Source organism: Homo sapiens, chromosome 2, assembly GCF_000001405.40.
Source record: "Homo sapiens chromosome 2, GRCh38.p14 Primary Assembly".
NCBI classification, from domain to species: Eukaryota; Metazoa; Chordata; class Mammalia; order Primates; family Hominidae; genus Homo; species Homo sapiens.
Window position 1 is genome coordinate 9,024,940 of NC_000002.12, and position 22,899 is coordinate 9,047,838.

At 40.6% G+C, this 22,899-nt stretch overlaps 1 long non-coding RNA gene across 1 annotated transcript; it reads left to right on the forward strand.

Annotated features, from left to right (window-relative positions):
- Positions 1–1,168: 1,168 nt before the first annotated feature.
- Positions 1,169–21,281, forward strand: LOC124907729 (uncharacterized). Its single transcript, XR_007086200.1, has 2 exons — positions 1,169–1,248; positions 21,028–21,281. It is a non-coding gene; the product is annotated as an uncharacterized LOC124907729 (long non-coding RNA).
- The last annotated feature ends 1,618 nt before the right edge of the window (positions 21,282–22,899 follow it).

Below are 22,899 nucleotides of genomic sequence, written 5' to 3' on the forward strand. Positions count from 1 at the left end.
CTGTGAGCAACTTCTCAAGTGGGTGGATTTAGTAAGTAGCACGCCGGACAGTGTCCCCCCAGTCTCACAAGAATGGCCCAAAAGTTCTACTCGTGACTGTTTCTTATGAAGCTGAGCCATGCTGCGAAGTTTTTCTTCTGTGATGAAGGGAATACAGGTTGGGTCCAAGCTTTCTAGAGACTCATCTTGACACAGGGCTAAAACTCAGGGAACTTCAAGGAACAGGGTCCTTGGCAAATGACATTTGTCTCAGCTGGAGTTTTGAAATGAGCTATATTCAGACAGTTCATAAGTTGAGTCTCTAACATGTAGCTGAAGGTCAGATAACCAATATTGTAACTGAAGGGAAAGCCACATGCTCCCATTGCCAGATACGTAAGCAGCAGAGCACCCTTTCGTGAACACTGAGGCGTCTGCATTGCACTCTCACCAGAGGGGAGGCTGCCCCCTCCACTCTGGAATTGGCCATAGACACACGAAAATACTTTGGTCATATAGATTTCTTATTTTTCAGATTTGGCTTTTTCCACTGGAACATTTGAAAGTCAATTTTACATCAGAGTGGATCCACATTGAATATCCCTGGAGGTTATTTCCAACCTTTCCATCATTATTTAAAGTGTATCTTTCCAAAAATTATCTTTAGTCTAATTAATATTAGCTTTTCCAATAAGTGGTTTCATTTATTATACTCCAATAGTGCTTTTTCTCTATATTATACGCTATATTATACAAAAAATTATCTATGCTCTTGTTGTTTAAAATTATACAAATGGTACATCAAGAGAATATTCAACATGATGTATTTTGAAGAGATGATTGGTGATGAGCAATGTTTTGTGCCTTGTAGGGGTTATTGTGGCTTTATCTGATTCACGTGACTTCTAACTATTATCTTGTTTCTCTCCTGGATCAGATACGTACGTATACAGGATCCACTAAGATTGCTGTTGTGAAAATGTATTCTGGGTATGTGGCCACAGTGTGAGTTGTAGGATAGAGCAACCGGTGGAACAAGATAACTGCTTCCCCCTGAAACAGCCCTGTTTAGGAATGTTGTCCAGATTGTAGGGAACTCAAACAATCCCTTTAAGTAGAAAGTAAATAGATTAGGAAAACAGCCACAAGGTTTGACACACCATCAGTGACTTTTTTCCCCTTTCCCTTTTCTTTTCATGGTGTAAGAGAACAGACAGCATGCATTGCAAGATCTGCCTTGTCTTGCTGCCACCCTGGACTGCCTCACATGTAAGTTCCCCCTGAATAAATCTTTGACGACCTCCCAGACCGGAGTGGTCTACGTCTTTCTTTGGTCTGAGCTTGCTCTCTGCTTAAAGAGGGCAGTTTTCTGTTCTGGCAGGGAGTTTTCCCAACAATTACATTTTCCAATATGAGAGTGATTACCCACATGTGGCTATCGAAATTCAAATTGATTAAAATAAAAAAATCCATTCTACTAAGATTCAGTTGCACTAGCCACATAAAGTGCTCAATAGTTCCCCATGGCTAGTGCTAGAGTACTGGATACAGCGGAGAGAGAGAGGGGAGAGATTTCCATTTTCGTCATCATGGGAAATTCTACTGGACAGCACTGCTCCAAGAAATAAAATCGATGCTCTATTGCCATAAGAAATAATATCTATAAAGTCATAGCTATGCAGATTAGTGGAACTGATGACAATTAGAATATACCTGAGACTCAAAGAGAAAGGATTCTGGTCTAACAAGAAAACAAAAAATGGTTAAAATGGTAGTTCATTTGGAGGTAGAGGTAGAAGTAATGTGTGTTAATTACAAGGACTGTAACCATCAGGATCAAGGTCCAGGAGAAGGACAATCATCTGACCAAATTGCAGTGGGGCAGGAAGTGCCTGCAAGCGGGTATTTGGTGCGGGTTTTCTACTTATTGCACCAAAAAGTGTTCTGTGGTCTGTATACTCAGGAAAGTATGGGTTTAACAGAGCCAGAAGGGTTTCTTTACTTTCAGTCTTTAGTATCTTGAGAGCCCTACTATTTATCCAGGGTTTCCCAGTCCTTTTTGAATTTGGGGTCCTTTTCTAATGTGAATCATGTTCTGGGGAAACCCTTTGGTTTAGGACGTGGCTGAGGGCAGCCTCCTCTTTCAATCTCCCCTCGTACCACACTGACTCACCTTATCCCTGTCCATCCCCAAACATCTATGTAACTTACAACACGATAGGGACTCCATGGCACTCTGCCCGTCAAGGAGATTTCCTTATTTTGAAATGTGCTCGCCTATCTGCTCATGACATGGCTGTGATCTTGCCTTCTGCCAATATTTCATGTTCTGGTGAACACATTTGCTCACAAATGGGGTCAGTGCTGCACCTATTTCCAAAGTGTCATGGAAGCATTTCAAGCTGGATGTCAAAAATCAAGTTTTAGGCCAGCACTGTGGCTCACACCTGTAATCCCAGCAATATGGGAAGCCAAAGTGGGCGGATCACCTGAGGTCAGGAGCTCGAGACCAGACTGGCCAACGTGGTGAAACCCCATCTCTAGTAAAAATACAAAAATTAGCTGGGTGTGGTGGAGGGCGCCTGTAATCCCAGCTACTCGGGAGGCTGAGGCAGGAGAATGGCTTGGACCTGGAAGGTGGAGGTTGCAGCGAGCCAAGATCACGCCATTGCACTCCAGCCTGGGCAACAGGAGCAAAACTCCATCTCAAAAAGCAAAAAACAAAACAAAACTAAAATCAAGTTTTATATTGAGGAGGAAAAATATGGTGGAGTGGAGAGAGCTTAATGATAAGCAGGTAATTAAGGATCGTTAGAAGTCCTGTAAAATCTTCAAGGGTATCGTAAAGTAGCCTGGGAGGAATGATCAAGTACATGAATAGTGGCTGGAGATGCCCATGGCCTGAGCACGCAGTGACTTCTAAGGGTTTGAAGAGAACAAAAGAGCGGTTGCTGATGTATAATTCCAGAACTCATCTTCACAGGGAATATGCAATACTGCCCACAATCCCTAACGGTGCTGGTTTACTTACAGTTCCCACTTCCAGGAATGCATCTCCTGGGCTAAGTGTGGGACAAGTAGAACTCGTGGGATATACTTGCTCCCATTTACTGGATGTTTACCATGTGCCGGGACCTAGGCTGCGCACTTTTCATGAACTATCTCATTTAATCACTGTGGGGAATTTTTGTTACACACATTTTACAGAGAAGAAAACTGAGGTTCAGCCAGGCTAACTTGACCATGGCCATGCCTTTGGTAGACTGTAGAGCTAGGATTCAAGAAACATTCACCTTCAGAGTCTAAGCTCTCAACACTATACCACAGCATCCAGTATATTGTTCAACTTTTAATTTTTATTTTATTTTATTTATTTATTTATTTATTTATTTATTCTGAGATGGAATCTCACTCTGTTGCTCAGGCTGGAGTGCAGTGGAGCAATCTCAGATCATTGCAACCTCCACCTCCTGGGTTCAAGCAATTCTCCTGTCTCAGCCTCCCGAGTAGCTGGGCCTGAAGACCCATGCCACCACGCCCTGCTAATTTTTTGTATTTTTAGTGGAGACAGCGTTTCGCCATGTTGGCCAAGCTGGTGTTGAACTCCTGACCTCAGATGATCCACCTGCCTCGGCCTCCCAAAGTGCTGGGATTACAGGCATGAGCCACTGTGCCCGGCCTCGTTCAACTTTTAGAGTGATACCGTCTAACTTCCTTCATAGCATGGAGGTGCATTTTAACAAACTATTTGAACTGGATTATGGTGGGCATAGTGAGAAAGAAGATTTGCCTGAGAAGAGGTAGCTGGGAAAAGCAAAGATGTTGCGTCTTTGAAGTATTTATCTTTTTTCTAAGCACGTGGGATGGTTGATGGCAGCAGAATGACCCCGAGGAGACAGAGATGGGGAAATGTTTGGTATTTATTTTATCGTATCTCAACTCTCCTCTGGAATATCTGCATTTGAATGTCTCTGTGATGCCTGAAACTTCACACTTAGAAAACCAGGCTCATTGTACTGGAAATGCTCGATTCTCCACTTCTCCACACTTCCAGAAAATTTCTATACTAACTCAACCTTTGACACCTTCCAAATTCTCCAACTCATCTGTCATTTTGTCAATTCCTTTATCATTAATAAAATGAAAAAATGTTTCTTCTTTACCATTTCCATGTTATCAACTTAGCCCAGGTCCGATCAGAGGTATATCAGTCTGTTTTTGAACACAAGATAAAAAGACAAAAGCACCATTTTATGTGCTGATGGCAGGAATTTATTGTATCGCAGAACTGGCTTCTAGAAGCTGCTTATACTCTTGGTTCCTTCCTAGAAGAACAGCGTGTTATCAGTTACCTCAAAGTCAAAATCATCTATTTAGCATTCAGATAGTGAATGCCAACAATTCTACTTCATAAAGTGAAATGATCTACTTCACTTATTCAAATGATCGGGAGGTTGGTTTGTAATACCTTATTGTACTAAACCCTCCCAAATGAAGTCTAGCTCAAAGTTACATGTTTTACAAATGTAGGGCCGAGGCAGGCGGATCACTTGAGGTCAGGAGTTCGATACCAGCGTGGCCAATACGGTGAAACTCCGTCTCTACTAAAAATACAAAAAAAATTAACTGGATATAGTAGCATGTGCCTGTAATCCCAGCTACTTAGAAGGCTGAGGCAGGAGGATGTCTTGAGCCCAGGAGTTAGAGGTTACAGTGAGCTAGGATCGTGCCACTGCACTCCAGCCTGAAGACAGAGCAAGACCCTGTCTCAGAAAAAAAAAAAAAAAAAAAAAAGCAAATTTTTTTATGTTAAATGGCTTTGGCTTATGAACAGCTTCAAAAAAAATCTAATTTTCAAAAATGGTTGATTTAATTCCTCAATTCCCTGGGGATTTAGGGCTTACAACTCCCCTCCAAGGCAGGTGGTAATTTTAAAGCAATGAAGTCAGGTCCCCTGGTATAGGTTTATCCTTTAGCTGCCCCTAGGAACACCATGACAACAAATCATGCCTCGCTAGCCCTGCAGGTAGGACCGTTGGTGGTTATTAATTTTATGAGAGCTCCTAGGTTGTTTACTATTATAGTTAGTGGGCACCCAGCTGTGCCGGGTCAACTCTGGGCAGTAAAACAAAAATACCTCTCCCTAATCCTGTGTTTTGGTAGCTCAGGACAGTTTCACTCGCAGCCCCTCATATAATGTGTGGCACAAAGACTGAATCACTCTAGTGAACCCTGAAAGGCAATTGATACTTTAGGCAATTATAATATAATAGAATTTTATAACTGGATAAGAACGCAGAGGTTATCTATTTCAACCCCTCGTTAGAGACAAAGAAATCAAGGCTCAGCAACTTCCTAAAGGTTACATAAGGAGTTGGCAAACCAAATTCAGGTGCAACTTGAGGTCTCCTGATCCAAGTCAGGCATTCTTCCCACCATGCCACGTGGCGCTCCCCAATGATGTAACCAGCATGGGACAAGTCCCCAAGGACCACACCTTTTACAGAGTTTATTACCTTGGCTTTAGCAGGTAGAGCGGTAGGAAACGCTCTCTGGATTCTCAAGCTTTGATAATACAACTAGTAAAGGGCACAATAATAGTATTTGTATAAGATTTTTGACACAATTGAAAATTCTTTCACATGCAGTATGTTTACTAATAATTCCTTATGTGTTTATAACATGTTATAATTTGTGAAATGCTTTTAAATGTATCATCTCATGATTATTAAACTTATTAAGTAGCCGGGAATTATTATTCCCATTTTATAGATGAGGAAACTAAGTTAGAACCCATTGCTACACAGTACACAACAAAGATGGGACCAGAGCCTGAAGGTCTGACTCCTAACACAGTGCTCTTTTCCGACAATATCTAAGAGGATTCAGAGTAGCAGATTTTGATAGGTTCATGTCAAAGGCACAGAGCTCTAATTGTATTTAGGGATTTTTTCCCAAAATTTTATATACAATCTACAGCAATTGGTCCAAGACCTAAATATTTCACAAGATATTCTTTCATCTGCAACATAGGACTTCCCCAGCCTTGGTCAATCCTGTGAACAATACGGTATTCACATATACTAAAAACATACTGGTCTCTCCAAGTTTGGCAGCTCTCACTCTGCTAGGCAATGCAACTGGAAAATCTAATATCTCAAAGGCGTCTTGTGCTCCTGCCAGATTCAAGTCTCATGCGTCTGTGGATTTTTCCATCCCTTGTGTAATGGGTTTGAATCTTTCTTGAAGGTGCCTCTCCAAAGAAGGGGGAATAGACATTCCTTCTCTCGTGAGCCTTATGAAGAAATAATTACTTGGTGGTTAACAAACAAAATCTTTCCTGCCAATTTGGAATCTCACCAAGAAAAGGGTCAGGGGAAATTCCAAGATACAGTTCAGAATCTGACCCTCAAAATATGATCTGAAAGATGAAAGACTCTGGTTAAAGGAGAACATTTGATTTTCTTATGAAGGTGGGGCAGTGTATGTTCTATAGAGTATGTGATTTTCTCTTTCATAAGTGTCTGGAGAGAAGATGAGGTTTCTAATATTTACCTTTAGGAAATCATCACATAATTGAGGGTAGAATGACTAAGTTAAACATCAGAGGAACTTCTTGTTATTTTTAACTAGATGATGATCATTTGTTTTACTCTCTGTGAGTGTATCAGAAATATTTACTGTTGTAAATTCCCAAAAATTCATTGATATCTTTTGAATTATAAGGGATTCAAAGCAGAATTCATTATCCTAATGCAATTATGAAGGAAATACATAGACATTATATAATATGTGGAAATATAGAAAGACAGAAAAGAAAAATATCACCCAGAGGTGTCTGATATATTCTTAAGGATACAATTAAAAACAGTTGGATAAACATTCTTCCCTTTTGGTTAGATACTTTTTAGAGGTAGAATTTTTCTCTGGGCCAGCTATGTTATGGAAGTATAATCATTCTAACCTTCTTCCAAATCCAAATTGTGTAGCATCTGCCATCCAGTATCTCAACATAGCTCAGCACCCTGGCTGCATCATATGTAAAGTGTTTATCTCATGGGTCAAGTTATGTTTATGGCATTCCTATAGAAAATTTAGTTTTTAGACTATGACAGTCACACAACCAGTAAAATGAGTAAATACAGGATTTTATCCTCCTTGGAGAGCAGTCAAGCACATTCGACAAATCTTCCTTGAATCAGAAATCACTCTGAACTGCAGGTGAAAATGCCACTGGGTTTTCAGTTATCTCGGGCAGAGTTCCATATTGCCGCAAAAAGAGACAGATCTTTCTGGATCACACACACACATATATATAAATACACACACATACACACACACACCATATATATATAATTCTGCCTTTGGACAATTTCCTCGTAAAGCACATAGAATCCCTAGAGACGTCTTGACTAACTTAGGAAGTGACATCACGGATCTGTTCTGATGGGGACAAAGCTGCAAAAGTCACTTTTACTGGCATGAGTCTGAAGCTCACACACATTTCTTAGTACAAAAAGTCTGTAAATAGGCAAGGGAACTGCAAGGTTTACTAAGTAGGTGAGATTATCTCGATGAAGCCTGCAAATATTATCTCTGAAATGAATGTATGAGGCTAACCAATACCCTAATTAAATAATAACTATAATCCATGGTTTTAAGTGGATGATATTTGGAGACACATTATGCTACCATCTGGACTACTTTGGAAACTCAAACTATTATACCAAGAGAAATAATTCTCAAACCTGTAGAGAAAGCTGGCACTTGAATGGATTCTGCATGCCAGAAAGCCATAAAGCAGCCCTGCTTGTCTAAATGCTTTGTTGAATTACACAGCCTCTTTCTCCTTGCCAGTTTGTTTGCCAAGTTTTATTGATTATTTGGGACAGTCATTTTAAACTCTAGCTTTTGAGGTTTTCCTGTCTATAATACTATCTGACCTTCCAAGTACTTCATTCTATGTTTCAGATGTCATCAGTTTTCAGGAGTTTGTTTGCGACTCAAAAGACTCAGAAAGATCTGTCTCTTTTTGCTACAATGTGGAACTCTGCCCGAGATAACTGAAAACCCAGTGGCATTTTCACCTGTAGTTCAGAGTGATTTCTGATTCAAGAAAGATTTGTGAAATGTGCTAGACTGCTCTCCCAGGAGGATAAAATCCTGTATTTACTCATTACACTGGTTGTGTGACTGTCACTTATGCTAACATAGTCTTGAAAATAGACACCAGAAAATTCACAGCTTTTTGTATACTGATTTTCTTCCATTGGGCCTCTATTCTCTTTTGCCAGTCTCCTCACTTTAGGAAACACTAGAAAACAATTCGGCAGGGAATTTCCTGTTTTAAGATGGTAAACTAAAATACATTCCTACCTCCTTCTCCTCTTGAAAATTACCCAGAAACGAACAAAGGAAAATAAAAATTGGAAACACAAATCCCATCTTTCATAAAGTCAAGAGATTTCTGAAACCCCAAACCTTAATATATGAAGCCTGATAATGCAGAGAGGAGTGTTGGTTCCTTAGCAGTGTGGAGAAAGGTGAGACTTGGAAGGGGATAGTGGTGCGAAATAGCCCTGCTTCCCTGCAGAGCATTGGGAAGGACCCAGGAACCGAATGCCAGAGGTGGCGGGGAGTCAGGGAGCTGTGAGCCATCTGGCTGCTGCTGTTCTGAGAACTGCTCAGGAAATGGGGGTGGGGCTTGTAATCATGCAGTGTACAGATTTTAATCAATTACCCCCACCTTCCCCTGTGTGTGGTATCCTAGAGTCCGGAGCCCCTGTCAACCGGGTGGATAGGGGCAAGGGGGCACCTGAGGATCTATTTGTGTTTTTTCAAACTTCCCAATGAGCACTGTTTTAGCAGAACTCTCTAGCTACTCCCTGCTGTTCTTCACAGGAGACTAGATGGTTCTTTACTGGGAAATTCAGCCACTCTAGCAAAAAGTGTAGATATAGGTATTTTGCTCTTCCCCCCACATCCCCCACAAAAAATAGCTTGCCACCTGATTACACTGTGGTGAGGCCCAACCATCCACAACTCCTACTCCCAGGCCTACCCCACCCTAGCATGCACGCACGCAGGTGCAAGCATGTGCACACACACACACACACACACACCCCCTTCCATTCAGTTTTTCTGTGTCTCACTCTTAAATATGAGATCTGAGGGTTGCTGGACATTTGAGGAAATGTTTCCACATGAAAACATGAAGCTAAAAGCTAACCAAGAAAAAAAAAAAAAGAAAAACATCATCCAAATACATCTGATCTATTAGTAAGGGTGCAATTAAAACAGTTGGATAACAATCTTTCTTTTGATTGTCTGCTTTTTGGAGGTAGCATTGTTCTCTGGGCCAGCTATGTTATAGAAGTAACTTCAACCTTACAGGTTAGAGGAAATGAGGAAATAAGTCAATTTTAACATGAAGATATAACATGTTAATATCCTTGGAGAGATGAGAAAAGATATTGTATCCACAAAACAAGAACAGAAATTTAATCTTTTAAAACAGACATAGAGAAACAAGAAAGATTTCAACTCTTGGGAATTAAAAATAGCCTAAAAATGTGTTTAATAGTCTGGGCGCGGTGGCTCACGCCTGTAATCCCAGCACTTTGGGATGCCGAGGTGAGTGGATCACCTGAGGTCAGGAGTTTGCAACCAGCCTGACCAACATGGAGAAACCTCGTCTCTACTAAAAGTACAAAAAAATGAGCTTGGCGTGGTGGTGTATGCCTGTAATCCCAGCTACTTGGGAGGCTGAGGCAGGAGAATTGCTTGAACCTGGGAGGCGGAGGTTGCAGTGAGCCGAGAGTGCACCACTGCCCTCCAACCTCGGCAACAAGAGCAAAACTCCGTCTAAAAAAAAAAAAATGTGTTTCATATCAGTGGAAGGACTGGAAGATAAAGTTGAAGAAATCCCTCTAAAAGGAAAATGAAGAGATAAAGATGGACAAGAAGAGAAGAAGAGTAAGAAATGTAAGAGATCATCTGGGATGTCCAACATCTGGATAACAGAAATTCTACAAAGAGAAAAGAGTGAGGAGGAAATTATTAGAGAAGTAACATAAAGAAATTTCCTCAAACTAAAACACATTGGTCAGCTGGGCGTGGTGGCTCGCGTCTATAATCCCAGCACTTTGGGAGGCTGAGGCGGGTGGTTCACCTGAGGTCAGGAGTTCGAGACCAGCCTAGCCAACATGGTGAAACCCTATCTCTACTAAAAATACAAAAAAAAAAAATTAGCCTGGCATGGTGGTGTGGGCCTGTAATCCCAGCTACTCAGGAGGCTGAGGCAGGAGAATTTCTTGAACCTGGGAGGCGGAGGTTGCAGTGAGGTGACATCATACAGTTACACTACAGCCTGGGCAACAGAGCAAGACTCTGTCTCAAAATAAATAAATAAATTAATTAAATAATAATAAAACACATTGGTCCCTGAATGAAAGGAGTCATTAGGTATTCAGCACAATATACACCAAATTCACAACAATACATTTTATAATGAAAGTTCAGAATATCGGGTCATAACAACTTTTGGAGAGATGAAGGGCCAGGCGCAGTGGCTCACACCTATAATCCCAGCACTTTGGGAGGCCGAGGCGGGCGGATCACAAGGTCGGGAGATTGAGACCATCCTGGCTAACACGGTGAAACCCCGCCTCTACTAAAAATACAAAAAATTTAGCTGGGGGTGGTGGCGGGCCCCTGTAGTCCCAGCTACCTGGGAGGCCGAGGCAGGAGAATGGCGTGAACCCGGGAGGCGGAGCTTGCAGTGAGCTAAGATCAGCCACTGCACTCCAGCCTGGGCGACAGAGCGAGACTCCGTCTCAAAAAAAAAAAAAAACTTTTGGAGAGATGAAATGGAGCAGATACCAAGGACTCAGACCACACATCAGAATGGCACAGATTTCTCAAAAGCAGCACTGAAAGCCAGAAGGCAGTGGAAGAATGCCTTTAAAGTGCTGAGTGAAGAGGATTTCTAAACTTGAATTCTAATCCCAGCCAAACTACTTATGTGAGGGCAGAAATAAAGAATCACATAAAGTAAAAAATAACAATTTCCTGTGCATTTTCTCAGAAAGTTCCCGGAGTCTGTAGTCCAGCAAAATGAGGGAGTAAATTAAAACAGAGGAGAAACTAGATCCAGGAACCAACAGACAAGAGAGAGGCAATGGTAATTCTGAGACTCATTGAAGAGATGTCCTAGCCAACATAGACAGGAACAAGAGGAGTGAGGGCTCAAGGAGCATCTCCAACAAAAAACAAGCAAACTAACTAACAAACGCGACAAGGAGATTATGTGTCTAAGCAATCAGAGTTCTGCAGAGAGTTTGAGTAGGAATTATTCTTAGGAGCAAGAAGTGTAGATTGGTGCAGGGAAACAGACACCCCAAAGGAATGTCTCCAGAAGAAATTGGGAAATGATACATCAACTGATAGGTTTGCCCTTGTGAAAGGAGAGATTATTGGAGAATATGGAAAGATACAGGCATAAGTTCAAGGAAATTAAAGAAACAGCAACAATTAAAATGAGGCAATGAGGCTATTGTTAACTCTTGGAAAAGCAAGATTTGTGGGTTTTGTTTTGTTTTTTTTTTTACAAGAAAGGAAACAATAACTATACTGTTTGGCTCACCACAGAATACATTTACACATACATAAGAGTGTAAATACTGAATAGGGATGTAATAACAATTTGTTGTAAAACTATGTAAGGTTTACAACAAATTGTTCTGGGACAATTGGATATACACATATAAGAGAATAAACTTGGACCTCCTTCCTAATACCATATACAAGAAAAATTAAGTGGAAATTGTTCATAGACCTAAATATAAGGGCTAAAATTATAAGCTCTTACAATCTTGGATTAAGCCAAGGTTTCTAAGATATAACACAAAAGCACAAACAACAGAAGAAAAAATAGATAAATTGGATTACATCAAAATTTTAAAAGCTTGTGTGCCTCAAGAAACAACAAAATAACATTATTATCAGATAAATTATTTACAAATATTTTCTCCCATTCTATAAATTGCTATTTACAGAATAAGACAATTTACAGGATGGGAGAAAATATTTACAAATAATTTCTCTAATAACGGACTTGTAACTAGAATATATAAAGAAGTCTTACAACTCATACAATTCATAACAAAACACAAGTAATCCAATTTAAAAATGAGTAAGGGAGATGAATAGACATTTCTCCAAAGAAATATATAAGTGGCCGATAAGCACATGAAAAGATGCTCACCATCATTGTCATTAAGGAAATGAAAATCAAAACCATGGTGAGATACCACTGCATATACAAGAGAAGATTAGATTTTAAAAAAAAGACAGACTAGTGCTGGCAAAGACATGGAGAAATTGGAACCTTCATTCATTGCAAGTTGGAATATAAAATGGTACAGCTGCTGTGGAAAACAGTTTGGCAGTTCCACAAAAAGTTAAACATAGTTAATGTATGACCCAGCAATTTCACTCCTAGGTATATATCCAAGAGAATTGAAAACATATGCTCACACAAAAACCCGTACACAAATGTTCATAGCAGTAATATTTGAAATAGCCAAAAAGAGGAAATGAGCCTGTATTAGTTCATTCTCACACTGCTAATAAAGACATACCTGACACTGGATAATTTATAAAAGAAAAAACATTTAATGGACTCACAGCTCCACATGGCTGGGGAGGCCTCACAATCATGGTGGAAGACGAAGGAAGAACAAAGGGACGCCTTACATGGCAGCAGGCAAGAGAGAGCTGTGCCCGGCAACTCCCCTTTATAAAACCATCAGGTCTCATGAGACTAATTGACTATCACAACAACAGCATGGGAAAGACCCGCCCTCATAATTCAATTACCTTGCACCTGGTTCCTCCTACAACACCTGGGAATTATGGGAGCTACAATTCAAGATGAGATTTCGGTGGGGACACAGCCAAACCATATCAGAGCCAAATGCTCATCAACTGATGAATGGATAAACAAAAATGTAGTGTATCTGTGCAATGGAATATTACTGAGTTGTAGAAAGGAATAAAATTCTGATACATGAATGAACCTTGAAAATGTTATGATCAGTGAAAGAAGCCATACAGACAGAGCCACATATTGTTTGATTCTATTTATATGAAAAGTCCAGAACAGGCAAATCCATGGAGACTGAAAGTAGATGAGTGGGTGCCTAGGGCTGAAAGGAGGGAAGAATGGGGAGTGACTGCTAAGGGGTACAATGTTTCTTGTTGGGGTGATGAAAATGATCTAAAACTGGAAGTGGTGATAGTTGTATATCTCTGTGAATATACTAAAAACCACTGAATTGTAGACTTCAAAAGGGTGAGTTGCATAGTATGTGAATTATTTCTCAACAAAACTTACATATAAAAAATTGGGTAGGTGGAGCCAAGATGGCCGAATATGAAGAGCTCTGGTCTACAGCTCCCAGCCTGAGTGACATGGAAGACGGGTGATTTCTGCATTTCCATCTGAGGTATCGGGTTCATCTCACTAGGGAGTGCCAGACAGTGGGTGCAGGACAGCAGGTGCAGCGCACCATCACGAGCTGAAGCAGGGTGAAGCATTGCCTCACTTGGGAAGCGCAAGGGGTCAGGGAGTTCCCTTTCCTAGTCAAAGAAAGGGGTGACAGACGGCACCTGGAAAATCAGGTCACTCCCACCCTAATACTGCGCTTTTCCAACAGGCTTAAAAAACGGCACACCAGGAGATTATATCCCGCACCTGGCTCGGAGGGTCCTACGCCCACAGAGTCTCGCTGATTGCTAGCACAGCACTCTGAGATCAAACTGCAAGGCAGCAGCAAGGCTGGGGGAGGGGTGCCCACCATTGCCCAGGCTTGATTAGGTAAACAAAGCAGCCGGGAAGCTTCAACTGGATGGAGCCCACCACAGCTCAAGGAGGCCTGCCTGCCTGTGTAGGCTCCACCTCTGGGGGCAGGGCACAGACAAACTAAAAGACAGCAGTAACCTCTGCAGACTTAAATGTCCCTGTCTGACAGCTTTGAAGAGAGCAGTGGTTCTCCCAGCATGCAGCTGGAGATCTGAGAACAGGCAGACTGCCTCCTCAAGTGGGTCCTTGACCCCCGAGCAGCCTAACTGGGAGGCACCCCCCAGTAGGGGAAGACTGACACCTCACATGGCCGGGTACTCCTCTGAGACAAAACTTCCAGAGGAATGATCAGGCAGCAGCATTTGCGGTTCACCAAGATCCGCTGTTCTACAGCCACCACTGCTGATACCCAGGCAAACAGTGTCTGGAGTGGACCTCTAGCAAAATCCAACAGACCTGCAGCTGAGGGTCCTGTCTGTTAGAAGGAAAACTAACAAACAGAAAGGACATTCACACCAAAAACCCTTCTGTACGTCACCATCATCAAAGACCAAAGGTAGATAAAACCACAAAGATGGGGAAAAAAACAGAGCAGAAAAACTGGAAACTCTAAAAAGCAGAGCGCCTCTCCTCCTCCAAAGGAACGCAGCTCCTCACCAGCAATGGAACAAAGCTGGATGGAAAATGACTTTGACGAGCTGAGAGAAAAAGACTTCAGACAATCAAACTACTCTGAGCTACAGGAGGAAATTCAAACCAATGGCAAAGAAGTTAAAAACTTTGAAAAAAAATTAGACAAATGGATAACTAGAATAACCAATGCAGAGAAGTCCTTAAAGGAGCTGATGGAGCTGAAAGCCAAGGCTCAAGAACTACGTGAAGAATGCAGAAGCCTCAGGAGCCGATGCAATCAACTGGAAGAAAGAGTATCAGTGATGGAAGACGAAATGAATGAAATGAAGCGAGAAGGAAAGTTTTGAGAAAAAAGAATAAAAAGAAACGAACAAAGCCTCCAAGAAATATGGGACTATGTGAAAACACCAAATCTACGTCTGATTGGTGTACCTGAAAATGACGGGGAGAATGGAAACAAGTTGGAAAACACTCTGCAGGATATTATCCAGGAGAACTTCCCCAACCTAGCAAGGCAGGCCAACATTCAGATTCAGGAAATACAGAGAACGCCACAAAGATACTCCTGGAGAAGAGCAACTCCAAGGCACATAATTGTCAGATTCACCAAAGTTGAAATGAAAGAAAAAATGTTAAGGGCAGCCAGAGAGAAAGGTCGGGTTACCCACAAAGGGAAGCCCATCAGACTAACAGCGGATCTCTCGGCAGAAACTCTACAAGCCAGAAGAGAGTGGGGGCCAATATTCAACATTCTTAAAGAAAAGAATTTTCAACCCAGAATTTCATATCCAGCCAAACTAAGCTTCATAAGTGAAGGAGAAATAAAATACTTTACAGACAAGCAAATGCTGAGAGATTTTGTCATCACCAGGCCTGCCCTAAAAGAGCTCCTAAAGGAAGCACTAAACATGGAGAGGAACAACCGGTACCAGCCACTGCAAAAACATACCAAAATGTAAAGACCATCAAGGCTAGGAAGAAACTGCATCAACTAATGAGCAAAATAACCAGCTAACATCATAATGACAGGATCAAATACACACATAACAATATTAACTTTAAATGTAAATGGGCTAAATGCTCCATTTAAAAGACACAGACTGGCAAATTGGATAAAGAGTCAAGACCCATCAGTGTGCTGTATTCAGGAAACCCATCTCATGTGCAGAGACACGCATAGGCTCAAAATAAAGGGATGGAGGAAGATCTACCAAGCAAATGGAAAACAAAAAAAGGCAGGGCTTGCAATCCTAGTCTCTGATAAAACAGACTTTAAACCAACAAAGATCAAAAGAGACAAAGAAGGCCATTACATAATGGTAAAGGGATCAATTCAACAAGAAGAGCTAACTATCCTAAATATGTATGCACCCAATACAGGAGCACCCAGATTCATAAAGCAAGTCCTGAGTGACCTACAAAGAGACTTAGACTCCCACACAATAATAATGGGAGACTTTAACACCCCACTGTCAACATTAGACAGATCAACAAGACAGAAAGTTAACAAGGATACCCAGGAATTGAACTCAGCTCTGCACCAAGCGGACCTAACAGACATCTAGAGAACTCTCCACCCCAAATCAACAGAATACACATTTTTTTCAGCACCACACCACACCTATTCCAAAACTGACCACATAGTTGGAAGTAAAGCACTCCTCAGCAAATGTAAAAGAATAGAAATTATAACAAACCGTCTCTCAGACCCCAGTGCAATCAAACTAGAACTCAAGACTAAGAAACTCACTCAAAACTGCTCAACTACATGGAAACTGAACAACCTGCTCCTGAATGACTACTGGATACATAACGAAATGAAGGCAGAAATAAAGATGTTCTTTGAAACCAACGAGAACAAAGACACAACATACCAGAATCTCTGGGACACATTCAAAGCAGTGTGTAGAGGGAAATTTATAGCACTAAATGCCCACAAGAGAAAGCAGGAAAGATCCAAATTTGACACCCTAACATCACAATTAAAAGAACTAGACAAGCAAGAGCAAACACATTCAAAAGCTAGCCGAAGGCAAGAAATAACTAAAATCAGAGCAGAACTGAAGGAAATAGAGACACAAAAAACCCTCCAAAAAATTAATGAATCCAGGAGCTGGTTTTTTGAAAAGATCAACAAAATCGATAGACCGCTAGCAAGACTAATAAAGAAGAAAAGAGAGAAGAATCAAATAGATGCAATGAAAAATGATAAAGGGGATATCACCACCGATCCCACAGAAATACAAACTACCATCAGAGAATACTACAAACACCTCTACACAAATAAACTAGAAAATCTAGAAGAAATGGATGAATTCCTCGACACATACACCCTCCCAAGACTAAACCAGGAAGAAGTTGAATCTCTGAATAGACTAATAACAGGCTCTGATATTGTGGCAATAATCAATAGCTTACCAACCAAAAAAAGTCCAGGACCAGATGGATTCACAGCCGAATTCTACCAGAGGTACAAGGAGGAGCTGGTACCATTCCTTCTGAAACTATTCCAATCAATAGAAAAAGAGGGAATCCTCCCTAACTCATTTTATGAGGCCAGCATCATTCTGATACCAAAGCCTGGCAGAGACACAACAAAAAAAGAGAATTTTAGACCAATATCCCTGATGAACATCGATGCAAAAATCCTCAATAAAATACTGGCAAACCGAATCCAGCAGCACATCAAAAAGCTTATCCACCATGATCAAGTGGGCTTTATCCCTGGGATGCAAGGCTGGTTCAACATACACAAATCAATAAATGTAATCCAGCATATAAACAGAACCAAAGACAAAAACCACATGATTATCTCAATAGATGCAGAAAAGGCCTTTGACAAAATTCAACAGCCCTTCATGCTAAAAACTCTCAATAAATTAGGTATTGATGGGATGTATCTCAAAATAATAAGAGCTATCTATGACAAACCCACAGCCAATATCATACTTAATGGGCAAAAACTGGAAGCATTCCCTTTGAAAACTGGCACAAGACAGGGATGCCCTCTCTCACCACTCCTATTCAACATAGTGTTGGAAGTTCTGGCCAGGGCAATTAGGCAGGAGAAGGAAATAAAGGGCATTCAATTAGGAAAAGAGGAAGTCAAATTGTCCCTGTTTGCAGATAACATAATTGTATATTTAGAAATCCCCATCGTCTCAGCCCAAAATCTCCTTAAGCTGATAAGCAACTTCAGCAAAGTCTCAGGATACAAAATCAATGTACAAAAATCACAAGCATTCTTATACACCAATAACAGACAAACAGAGAGCCAAATCATGAGTGAACTCCCATTCACAATTGCTTCAAAGAGAATAAAATACCTAGGAATCCAATTTACAAGGGATGTGAAGGACCTCTTCAAGGAGAACTACAAACCACTGCTCAATGAAATAAAAGAGGATACCAACAAATGGAAGAACATTCCATGCTCATGGGTAGGAAGAATCAATATCGTGAAAATGGCCATACTGCCCAAGGTAATTTATAGATTCAATGCCATCCCCATCAAGCTACCAATGACTTTCTTCACAGAATTGGAAAAAACTACTTTAAAGTTCATGTGGAACCAAAAAAGAGCCCGCATTGCCAAGTCAATCCTAAGCCAAAAGAACAAAGCTGGAGGCATCACGCTACCTGACTTCAAACTATACTAGAAGGCTACAGTAACCAAAACAGCATGGTACTGGTACTAAAACAGAGATATAGATCAATGGAACAGAACAGAGCCCTCAGAGATAATGCCTCATATCTACAACCATCTGATCTTTGACAAACCTGACAATAACAAGAAATTGGGAAAGGATTCCCTATTTAATAAATGGTGCTGGGAAAACTGGCTAGCCATATGTAGAAAGCTGAAACTGGATCCCTTCCTTACACCTTATACAAAAATTAATTCAAGATGGATTAAAGACTTAAATGTTAGACCGAAAACCATAAAAACCCTAGAAGAAAACCTAGGCAATACCATTCAGGACATAGGCATGGGCAAGGACTTCATGTCTAAAACACCAAAAGCAATGGCAACAAAAGCCAAAATTGACAAATGGGATCTAATTAAACTAAAGAGCTTCTGCACAGCAAAAGAAACTACCATCAGAGTGAACAGGCAACCTACAAAATGGGAGAAAATTTTCCCAACCTACTCATCTAACAAAGGGCTAATATCCAGAATCTACAATGAACTCAAACAAATTTACAAGAAAAAAACAAACAACCCCATCAAAAAATGGGCGAAGGATATGAACAGACACTTCTCAAAAGAAGACATTTATGCAGCCAAAAGACACATGAAAAAATGCTCATCATCACTGGCCATCAGAGAAATGCAAATCAAAACCACAGTGAGATACCAGCTCACACCAGTTAGAATGGCGATCATTAAAAAGTCAGGAAACAACAGGTGCTGGAGAGGATGTGGAGAAACAGGTACACTTTTACACTGTTGGTGGGACTGTAAACTAGTTCAGCCATTGTGGAAGTCAGTGCGGCGATTCCTCAGGGATCTCGAACTAGAAATACCATTTGACCCAGCCATCCCATTACTGGGTATATACCCAAAGGATTATAAATCATGCTGCTATAAAGACACATGCACACGTATGTTTATTGCGGCACTATTCACAATAGCAAAGACTTGGAACCAACCCAAATGTCCAACAACGGTAGACTGGATTAAGAAAATGTGGCACACATACACCATGGAATACTACCAGCCATAAAAAATGAAGAGTTCATGTCCTTTGTAGGGACATGGATGAAACTGGAAACCATCATTCTCAGCAAACTATCACAAGGACAAAAAACCAAACACTGCATGTTCTCACTCATAGGTGGGAATTGAACAATGAGAACACATGGACACAGGAAGGGGAACATCACACTTCAGTGACTGTTGTGGGGTTGGGGGAGGGGGGAGGGATAGCATTGGGAGATATACCTAATGCTAAATGACGAGTTAATGGGTGCAGCACACCAACATGGCACATGTATACATATGTAACAAACCTGCATGTTGTGCACATGTATCCTAAAACTTAAAGTATAATAATAATAATAAAATAAAATAAAATAAATTGGCCGAGTACAGTGGCTCATGCCTGTAATCCCAGCACTTTAGGAGGCCAAGGCGGGTGGATCACGAGGTCAGGAGTTCAAGACCAGCCTGGTCAACATGGTGAAACCCCGTCTCTACTAAAAATACAAAAATTAGCCGGGCATGGTGGTGGGCACCTGTAATCCCAGCTACTCGGGAGGCTGAGGCAGAGAATTGCTTGAACCCAGGAGGCAGAGGTTGCAGTGAGCCAAGATCGTGCCACTGCACTCCAGCCTGGGCAACAGAGTGAGACTCCATCTCAAAAAGAAAGAAAAAATATTAGGAAGATGGAAGGATGGGAGGGATGATAACAGAGCTAAATCCTTGTCTACCACTATTGAACCTCAGTGCATTCTGTCTAAAATTTATGGATCAAAAGAATGCAGGTTTGCAAATTATTTTTAAACGTGGAGCTATATTGCTGAAGGCACAACCAGAAGGTTACAGCAGTTCCTTCTGGGAACAGGACTGTGGAGGGAAGATAGGCAAGGGACTGTTCTCTTTGATTATGAACGTTTTAAGCCTTTTGGAAACATTTAACTATGTACCACTATTACTTCAATAAAAGTAAACATTTTGAATTCATGCTTGAAATGACTACCATTACAATAGTAATAATATGAATAATTCCACTATTGCTTAAGCCTGGCTTCTAAAGCAGCAGGCGATGGTTCATCAAGAAGGGGCAATGCCAGCAAAATATGTGGGCAGCGTGCAAAGCGCTTGTTGGAAGCCTTCAATGAGCAGCAGGCAGTGTGGCTCTCACTTGGTTTCTCCTCACAAAGGAGAGCTTTGCAGCCCCTAAGAATTTACAAGTATTTCAAAGTCAGCTTAAGGTCTTATCCTAAGAATGGTTGGTTAACAATTGTCCAAAAGCATAACATGAAAAAGCCAGATAGGCCTGAGTTGGAAACAGCATGTGCACCCCTTGCTGGGTCACTCTGAGTAAGTCTCTTCTGACTTCCGAGCCTTCATTGCTTCATCTATAAAATGGGGGTGATAAAAAAAAACCCTCAAACAATTGCTGTGATGATTGCATGAGGTCATGTGTAAGAAGGCATTTAGCACAGCACAGAAAAGTGCTCGACAAATGTCTTTTTCATTCATTCATTGGTTCAAAATGAAATGAATCATGGTTCAAAGAAAAAAACAAGATCAAGATTCCCCCAAAAGGCAGATGTGATCAGTGTGATTATTTTATTCTGCTAAACAAAAACAGAATTATATTCCACACATTGCAACTAATGTCCTAATCGAGGGGAAATTGCTTGATCATGATGAAACTTCATGTTTCGTAAAGGTTCTCATATACAGTCAGCATAATTTATGAGAATTAATTCGTGATGGCTCTAGAATTCTTTGAACCCCTCAGTTACCGTAAATACGAAGTATCATTAAAGAGAAATGCTGTCTCCTCTAATCTCTTCTCTTTGTGTTCTCTTCTCCTTAGGAGGCACACATAGAATCGAATAGTGCAAAGCTCTCTTGAGTCAAGAAGACCTGGACTCAAAGTCGGCTTCCTCTGTGTACTTACCCTGGGCCACCCCTCTGAGCTCTGATTTGCTCGTCTGTAAATTTGAGATAATGTATTATTATCCCAAAAGCTATGTATTACACCTTGCTGGGTTCTTTATAGGTTGAGTAAAATATTGTATGAGATAGTGTCAACCACGTAAGAACCATCCAATAAATATTCATTTCCTTCTTCTGACTTTTTATTAAGTACTTCAACAACCTTCCTTCCTTCCTTCTCAAAGAACCTAGAATCTTCCACAGCATGATTTCATATTATTGTGTGCTCTTTCTTCTTGCTTCAAGGGATCTTTGATAATCTGTTCAGATAATTATTCCATCTCCAATAATTATCTAAGTAACCTTCATTCTCTTCTTCCTTCCTCTTCTGTATTTCAAATACATAGAATAGTAACCATTACCTTTATACCCCCACAAAATCTTAATATTTTCGCATATTTATCTCAGATATATCTTTTTTAAAACATCATATAATAGAGTTGAAGCCTTCTATCTTGAAGTTGGAATACATCATTCCCAGGAGTGTTTTTAAGCTTTCATTACACATACATGGATGTATGCATGTTACATGTTACATGAAATTGTTTTGCAACTCTGCCATCCAGGCTGGTTTGCAGTGGTGTGATCTCAGCTCACTGCAACCTCCACCCCCCAGGTTGAAGTGATCCTCCCACCTCAGCCTCCCAAGTCTGGGACCACAGATGTGTACCACCACGCCTGGCTAAGATTTTTTATTTTTGATAGAGATGGGGTTTCACCATGTTGCCCAGGCTGGTCTCGAATTCCTAAGCCCAAGCAATTCACCTGCCTCAATCTCCCAAAGTGCTGGGATTATAGGCATGAGCCACTGCACGTTTGCAAATTTTTTAAGTTAAAGAAAATATGTCATACTCCATGCAACATTCTACGACTTGTTTTGTTCATGCAGCATGGTTTTTGAGATTTATCCAAGTTGATTCATTTTAGTTTCTATATAAAATTCCATTGTATGAATATACAGCACTCCATTTGTCTATGCTCTCGTGGTGGACGTTTGTGTTCACATTTTCACTATTATCAACAATCTGACAATGTTTTTAAACAATTCTCCTTATGTGCATATTTCAGCATTTCTCTAGGACGGCAGTTTGAAGACATTTTTGTCTCAGTACCTCTTCATCCTGCCGACGTTTATTTAGGAACACAGTGAAATTTGTGTATGTGTGTTATAGCTATCAACACTTATCATAGTAGAGATTAAAACTGAGAAAATCTTAAAATATATGTTAACTTATTTAAAAATCACTAATAAACCCACTATATGTTAATTACATTAAAGCTATGTATAGTCTTAAATTTCTAAAATATTGCCAAATTGTTCTCCAAAGTGATTGACTGAATCCATACTCCCATCAATAGTATATAAGCATTTCTATTTTTTTATGTCCTCTTCAACACTTGGTATAGTCAGGCTTGTTAATTGTGGCCAATCTGATGGTTAGGAAATAGTGTCTCACTATTGTTCTAATTTCTACTTCCCTGCAACAACAAGGTCCTTTACTAACTCCTCTTAAATTACCAAGCTGGAACATACTCAGGACCCTGATGTAGGATACTTTACTAAATTTTGTTTTAATGATTGTTTAGAACTCAGAACACATTATTATTACAATTAAACCTAGAGACACTATAAATAGTGGTCACCATTCCAGACTAGCCCACAAACACTGAATTACCTTAAGGTGTAGACTGGGGTCCCCAACCCCCAACCCCCAAGCCACGGACGGATACTGATCCGTGGGCTGTTAGG